The sequence below is a fragment of the Homo sapiens genome, chromosome 13, assembly GCF_000001405.40.
Source record: "Homo sapiens chromosome 13, GRCh38.p14 Primary Assembly".
Lineage (NCBI taxonomy): Eukaryota > Metazoa > Chordata > Mammalia > Primates > Hominidae > Homo > Homo sapiens.
The window spans coordinates 68,210,590-68,219,232 of record NC_000013.11 but is presented as its reverse complement, the minus strand read 5'-3'; the positions used below and the strand labels follow the sequence as shown (position 1 = coordinate 68,219,232).

General features: G+C 36.0%; 1 long non-coding RNA gene across 1 annotated transcript; it reads right to left on the bottom strand.

Annotated features, from left to right (window-relative positions):
• Nucleotides 1-526: 526 nt before the first annotated feature.
• On the bottom strand, nt 527-7,809 carry LOC124903239 (uncharacterized). Its single transcript, XR_007063925.1, has 2 exons — nt 7,720-7,809; nt 527-1,078 (listed from the first exon to the last, which is right to left on the bottom strand). It is a non-coding gene; the product is annotated as an uncharacterized LOC124903239 (long non-coding RNA).
• Nucleotides 7,810-8,643: the final 834 nt, after the last annotated feature.

Here is an 8,643-nt window from a genome sequence, read left to right as displayed (position 1 = left end):
AGGGAGGGCTTTCTATGAAATGTGATTTAGGGGTTTTATCATTATATAATTTGAAAGGGTAATTAGTAACCTGGGTAATGAAGAGATGATTTAGTTTAACGTTATAGTCTCCTACAGAGGCAGATGGGTCCTACTCAAAGGGCTGCTTGGATGTCTAGACTGATAATGCCATATACACACTAAAAATTGCAGAGAAGCCAGCAACAATTTTAGTGTAGTTTGTAAATGAACCAATCAACAACAAATTCACGAACAAAGCCACTCTTCTGCTTAGATAAGGCCTGGATTCTACCATCAGTGTTATTTTTAGGTTCAGTGCTTTGATAGCTGTTTTTAAAATGTGAGTAGTCCTGTTAAATTAGTATAAGTTATCTTAACTTTGAAAAAAAAATCAGAGAAAGGGTGAGGAGCCATATCAGTTTAGAGCATGAGAAAACAATTCAGAAGCTCAAGGAAACCAAAACAATTTGGCTAGCTAAAAAACATATAATATCAGCTAGTCAAGCAGACTTGGATGAATCAGTGATCTTAGTATTAAATCTTTATTAAATATTTTCAAATATGAAGAAGATCAACAATGAGCTCAGCTGAAGTAGACGAAGGTCAGGAACATCAAGAATAGTTCTTCAGGTTTTCTCTTTCTGCCTTGAACATTCCTCTCTGGCACAGGATAGATGAGATCTCTAAGCGGAGTCTTGAGGTCCCTCACATAGCAGGGAGCATTTCTATTACCGAACATCTCTGGTTTATATCCCATTCTGTTGAAAAGCTTATGTGACATTCTCCAGAAAACCAGCTTCATAGACTCTGGGTTCTCTTTACGATAATTCATCTATACAGAGAAATCTTGCCAAGGACATTTTATAGACAAGTTCTCTTTCTCCAAGGAAATATCATTTGTCTATTTACCAGGAGGGCCTGTTTACAAGGAGACTAAAATTGCCTTCTTTTCTCCTTTTATTTTCTCTGTGGCATCCTCCTGGTGAAGGGAGTGGTAAGTTAATGGATCATTGAACAGGTGATTTAACTTCTTTCCCTTACTAATGCATCACAATTTTGCCTTCTTTTGGTCTCTGTGCTTGAAGTTGCAAAGACAAAGAAAAAAGCGAGACCTATGTCAAGTTCGGAGACAAAAAGGAGCCATAAAAATGGAAGTAAAGAAATTTTATTTGCTGTGTCTAGAAACTCTAAGTATTCTGTCCTGTTTACCTTTATTCTCCCTTCCTCTGCTTTCATGTCCTCAATTCTATCTACAACATCTAAAGAGAAAGGTTAATAACTTGCTTAAGATAACCCGGTTATTTATGTTATTTAATAGCTGGACAAGGATAAAATCCAAGGTCCTCTAAATTGGAAACAATTGATTTTTTTCAGTCTTTCTCCTTCATTGCACTACCTTTATATGTTATTGATCTCTTGCAAAACAATTTATTACATGACTTAGTCAAATAAATTAATCCAGTTCCTAACACACCCATTACCATATTGGATACTAAGGACACAATGTTGAATAAACTACATCCTCTGATGCAAATGGCTGTCATTTAGTCAGATTAAAAGATTAAAAAAATACAGTTGTAAACAAATAATATTATGGGGGCACAGAGAAGGCAATTGTACTCTAAAACTGGGGTTTAAAGTAGGATTCTTAAGAAGTGAAGGTAGTCAGGCAAACTATGGAAAGAATATTCTGTGCCGATGAATCAGCAAATATATAGGCTTAGATGTGAGAAGAAATGTCAGTGTATTAACATTTGCTCAATATAGATTGAACAAACAATGCAAAAAAGAAGAAAATGTGAAGTGTTGCTAGACACTAAGTGATGAGTTAAACACTAAAGAGCCTTGAATAAAATGGCAAGAAGTTGGAAATTTATTCTGCTGTCAACTAGTAGTCTTTGAGGTATTGTAAACATCACAGTTTCATGACCAAATTTATTTTCTAGAGCATAAAGCAAGTATCTGTCATTAGATACATAAATGAGCCACTGGGTTAAATATAATTAAATGAAATTTTAAAATTCATAACATGGTGATGTTATTACTGTGCTGTCATTCATTACCAATGCCACAGACTGCGATTTAGTATTCAATATTTTCCAAACTCGTTTCACCATAGACTTCCCCACAGGCTTCTCAGTTTACTCTTGCCAAGGATTAGTTTTTTCCAGTTTAATCTTTAAGAATACTGGTGGTGGCCGGGCTCAGTGGCTCACGCCTGTAATCCCAACACTATGGGAGGCCGAGGCGGGCAGATCATGAGGTCAGGAGATCAAGACCATCCTGGCTAACATGGTGAAAACCCGTCTCTACTAAAAAAAAAAAAAAAAAAAAAAATTAGCCGGGCGTGGTGGCGGGCGCCTGTAGTCCCAGCTCCTGGGGAGGTTGAGGCAGGAGAATGGCGTGAACCCGGAAGTCGGAGGTGGCAGTGAGCCGAGATTGCACCACTGCACTCTAGCCTGGGCGACAGAGCGAGACTCCGTCTCAAAAAAAAAAAAAAAAAAAAAGAATACTGCTGGTTACCATAATATATAAAAGAGATTGAATAGAAGCATAACTAGAATCAAGAAAATTAAGAAGCAGTGTGTTGCTATAAGCCAGCTGAGAGATTTTAAAGGAATGAACTAAGATATTAGGAGAAGGGTAGAAAATATAAATGGCTTTGAAAGATAGTAAGGATGTGGAATTTATAGGAACAGAGTAGTCTCCAAACAGAATTGGCATAGGACCTTTGAAACATCTTCCCAGATAATTTGATAACATTTCCAAGAATCATTCTTCAAGGACTGATACAACTTTATAGGCACCAGGTTGCGACCCTGACTTCTTATCTTGTGGTTCACCTCAAGATAAAAAGAAACATCCAATAACCCAGTGACATCTAGACACATTGTCACCTTCTAAATCTAGACAAAGAAGGCCTTATTCTCATTCTGTCACCCATTTCTGTTTTCCAATTGCAGTTCCTTATCTGAGATGCTTAACACTTCCCTTTCTTCTTTACGAAAAACTGACTTGGCTTTAACTTTGCAATCCCTTCGCAATCCCGTCTGCCATAACGTAGTGCAGCAATCATAAAACCACTGTAGCCAAATAACAAATAGTAACAAAAAGTATTAATCATGCACTGTGCACAGTGGCTTTAAATAACTTAGTCGTGCTGGTTTTAGTGTCAAAATGATTTTTGTGGGGGAGGATGGTGGTGTAATATTAAATCATTTCTTATTCACTTTATCTTGGATTGCAGCACCGTGTCTGGCCTTGATAGGTTGCTGATGTAAAAGACATAAGTCAAAAATTTAATGAATCAATGGAGTGGGTACGACTAAATTGTGAAATTGTGATCCCCCCACCCCAACTAATTCACACTTCTGATTTTCCTTCTTGCCATACATGGCCTTGCTAGGATACAGGTAAACTGAGGAAATAAAGATACTTTTCATGCTGATAAATATTTAGAAACCTATTTTGAGGTTAATGTGTTGTAATTGCTATTAAAATTTAAAGCATGGTGCATTTTAAAAAGTAATTCAGATTCTGAAAGAAAGAAAACAAGTGACTGAATTTCTAAAGTGAGCACAAAATGAAAGAAATGGGTCATTTTGAGGCAAAACTGTAATAATAGCTTCAATGTTTATAAAATTACTTTTTCCAGTATTGAAGAGATAGGTCATATTAGAGAGAAGAAAAGAGAATGAGAAAGAGAGAAGCGGCTTCCAGCCATATATTTATTTTGTTTTATAAATACCTTTATTTAAAACTGTATTTCATTTTAAAGTGCTCTTCAGAGTACTATTCCCTGGGAGAAATTATTCATAAATGGCACTAATTAGTGTCAAGCTGCATTTCAAGGCATTTTGAAAATTGTCCTATTAATTAATGGTGTAATTAAGCTTTTGTCAGTGACATATCATATTTCTGACAGGAATAGATGGCCTGTGTAAGTCAGTGCCAGGCAGCTATCCAGGCAGCCACTGTGTGTAATGGATGGTAGCAATTTAGCGCAGGTTTACAGAGATGGGCCCACCTACGTGAGGGAGACTGGCAACTTGCATACATAAACAGCGCTTTGCACTGTACTTTGGGAAATAACTGTAGCTGAGATTGATGTGACCTCCTCCCTTGGATGACACATTAGCCTTTTACCATGAAACCATAAATAGTGTTTCTCTGAGCTTTTGTGACAAAAATGTCAATTAGCTTCCAAATTTCATTTTCGTTTAATTTTGTATTCTAATGCCATTTGCATATTAATGTGAACATGGTGCAGAACTGTTAGATTAGAATACTGGCTAAGGCTAATAGGATGTAATACACACTTATTGGGGGGGTAATAGTTATACACATTTAAATGTTGTCCCCACAATCATAGATCTATTTGTGTGAGAGATGTGCCACTGCTTAATGCCTCTTGAATATCAGTGTGTCACACAGCAAGATTTAAATGTGGGTACAGAGAAATAAAAGCCCTAAAATTGAAAGAGAAAAAAGATCCAAGTATACTCACGTCAACACAGTTAAATATAAATCATTTTTTTCTGGTCATCCCTTTGCAACAGATCTCTATTAATTCTAGTATTAATAATTTACACTCTGGTTCCAGCTATCAAGGTCTTAAAATTGTATAAAAATCAAACACAAGAATGAAATTTCCTTGGTAGAAACATTTCACATCAATGAAGCTCACAGGCTTCGAATGACTTTTCTAGAGAAATAATTGTTTTTCTCATATATTTTTAGGCTTTCTGGTTTTAATAATCAACTTATTTTATTTTTAAAATACCTATTTTCATAAAAATATAAACTTGTATTTTATAAGATTTATATTTAGGCTTTAGTTTTCCAAATATTTTTAATGGTTTAGATAGAATTATAAAAGTTCTAATTGGCACTGGTCTAGAAATCAGTGTTACTATACTTAGGTTTGGATATTTTTAAAGCAGAAAAAGACATTAAAGATCACCTAGTTCAACCCACTTCATTTTACAGATGAAGAAACGGAGCCTGAGAGATTATATAATTTGCCCAAGGTCATGTGTCTAGTAAGTGTCAGAGTGAGGACTAGGACCTGACAGGTTCAGCTTCTTATTTTCAGAGTCTTTTTTTTTAATTGATAGCAGTTTAGATTTAAACAGAAATAGAAAGATGAAATAAGCAAGAAGACAGTAAGTGAAAGACAAACAAACCAAAAAAGGGAAAAGGAAAGGAGAAAAGGAAGAACAAAGTGGGGAGGAAGGGAGGAGGGAAGAAAGAAAGGAAGAGGAAAATTGTATGATGTGAGAATTTTATTTCAATTATTTAAGATGTCTCAGTGATTTGATAAAGTGCATTGTTTATCTTTTGAGACATGGATTGATTGCCTTACATTGTACAGTAAATCCCCAATTTGCAAATGAGGTGTGTTCCAGAATTTCATTGTGTAACTTATTTTTTTAAACCATTTTTGTCATGGCAACAAGGTCTATGTCTATTCACGATAGTTTATTTAAACTAGTGAATCTTAAGTCATTTTGTAAGAGATTTTTTTTGTGTGTGTGAGAAATGCTAAGGTTGTAGGAATAAGAATCATTTTGAGAGCTTGCAGTGCAGGTAAGAGGAAGTTACGGAAGGCTGAGGAATGTATAGTGCTGGATGCATGAATAGATTAGTAATTCACAAAGAAATAGTCTGTAAAAATGTGTCCTAAACCTAGTTAGAAAAAAGATTGAGCAATGTATGAGAAAAGGCAGAAAGGAAGGACTGTGGATGGCCGCTTTTGTCCACCTATTGGTCAGGATGCTTCAGCTTTGTCCTGAAAGGTGCATATTTTACTCAGAAAATTAAAGCCCTCTTTTGAAACTATCCATCACCTGATACAGGTGAGCAAAGTCTTGTCTTCCACTCAGAGAAGTTACCAGCAATGGCTTTAACATTCTTTATTGCAATGATGAATATGTAGGTGGTGCTGTGCTAGATACAATCCTAATTTTTTTTCACACATGGATTCATTTAATTCTCCCAGCAACCCTATGTGGTAGGTATTGATATTATCCTTATTTTATAAATGAAGAAAGTGAGGCACAGACATTAAGCAAGTCGACGAAAGTTACACAGGTAACAAATAATGAAGATGGAATTCAAACACATAGTGCTAAGATGGCTTTAGCCAGGAAGTTTCATTATGCTAAATTTTTTTAAAAAGTAGAAATCTAAAATCCTGAAATCTAGTCACTCATTTAGCCTAGTTTTACCACTTCTTACTCAAACTATATTTGTCATTTTTTAGTACAAATTTTTCTCTGACACTCACACCCATATATACTGGGTATAAATTTTAGTCTACATTTGGGAGTGTGACAGAGATCTTAGTGCTTTAGTTATTTTTTTAAGCAATTTAAGTGAGACTGGAGGCTCATCCCACATGAATCTTAGAGTGCTGTTTGCATGATGGGGTACAGGGATCATCTTTCTGAGGACTCACAAAAATGTGAGATATTTATTTGGAAACAGAGAAAGAACTCCTAGTAGTTAGTTGTTGATACGTATATTTTCTGAGCCCAAATAGTTCTTTGAATCAGGAGGTTAAATGGCCTATTTGCCACTCTTGAGAAATGCAAATTTTACAGAATGTGACAGAGCTGGTAACTAATTCTAGCCTCCTAGGGAACATATATTATTATTTCCCTCTGATGTCCTGGCAGCTCCCAGAGTAATACCAGAAGACAGACCTGCACTAAGATCTGAGAACAGCTGACTTTTCCTATCTTGAGGATCCTTCTCTTGATCTAGATTCTTCCACCAAACCTCATCTCACGCTTAGCATAATCCTCTCACCTTGCTATTTTCCTTTAGACTCCGAAAGCAATCTTTCCTGAAGCAAGGGAATTACTTTGCCCTGGAAGGGGGTTGGGGATTATTTTATTTTATTTTATTTTATTTTATTTTATTTTATTTTATTTATTTATTCATTTTTGAGATGGAGTTTCACTCTTGTTGCCCAGGCTGGAGTGCAATGGCTCAATCTCTGCTCACCGCAACCTCTGCCTCCTGGGTTCAAGCGATTCTCCTGCCTCAGCCTTGGGAGTAGCTGGGATTACAGGCATGCGCAACCACGCCCAGCAATTTTTTTTGTATTTTTAGTAGAGACAGGGTTTCTCCTGTTGGTCAGGCTGGTCTCAAATTCCTGACTTCAGGTGATCCACCTGCCGTGGCCTCCCAAAGTGCTGGGATTACAGGCATGAGCCACTGCGCCCAGCCGGGGTGGGGGATTCTTAAGATGAGAAACATAAAGTGATAACACAACACAAATGAAATATCCCGCCACACATGTGCTATTCTCTGCTGAATGTTTCCACTTCTAAGACCTAAGGATTCATTAAAAATCCGTATAACCTAAAAGAACTCCTCATACTATACCAATGCCACTTACCAAGGCAATGCCAATTTGTTCTCATCTCATGATGGACACTATTCTACACCCAGTTGCCTAAGGCAGACTCATTTGTTATTTTGATTCTTCTTCTAACTAATCCCCACATCCAAGCAACAGTCATATCCTCTTTCTTCTGCCTCCTTTATAAACTATCTTAATTCCAGCAATTGCCACTATCATAATCATAGGGAATAATCATGCTTGATTTTTTCCTACATTGTGTGAACCAATCAACAGGTGAACTCATCGATAACATCATTCAATCTGTTGCAACGTCCTCATGTTAATCTCTATGCCTTAAATGTTACCTCTGCAATCCATTCTCCATCTTTTGTTCCTTTAAAAGTCTCAAATCTTGTCAGAGCATTACTTTGTTTAGAAACCCACAGTGGCTTTCATAATTTTTAGGGTGATGTCTGAACTCTTTATGATGTCATTCAAGGCCTTTCAACATCTGGTTTGGGGTTACTTTTATAGTGTTCTATCTCACCACTATTTTTCTCCCTCCCTTACTTATGTATTTCATAACTCATGTCTCAGACTTACTGAACTATTTTTGTTATAAATATTTTCCTGAATTTCTGTTGATTCTAAGCCTTAGAAAACTTTCTTTTTTTTTTTTTTTTTGGGAGAGTTTCCCACTACCCCTACTTACCTCTCTACATAATTTCATCTCCTTACCTTATTAACTGCATAACATCCTTCAAAAATCAATGAAAGCATCATTTCTTTTGGAAGTTTTCCCTGAATTTCTAACACTCTGGGTTAGAAGAACCTCTTATGTGCTCATATAGCCCTGTGGCTTCTCATTACTGCATCACACTATGTTATAATTATCTGTTCACTTGTCTGTCTTCCTAGTTACATTAAAAACCCTTGAAGAAAAGCAATGATGTCTTATTAATCATCGCATCCCTAGTACCTTATAGAGTTTTGTCATTTAGCAAATGCTAAGTGTTGAACAAATGAACGAATACCCAAAAGGCATAAGTGAGTGTTACACAGGTAATTTAGGAACTGCCTGTTAAACTTACTTTATTACCAAAATCTTATCATCTCTTCATAAGAATCTTAATATCACTTTATTCTCATCAAAAATAGTTGAAATAAATGATTTTTTTTCCTAAGAATTAAAAAAAGGAAAGGAGATAAAACAATCTAGTATGAAGTGTTTGCCATCCTTGATTTTTCTTCTTCTGGTTTAAGACCCAAACTAACTTTATGAGGCTAAA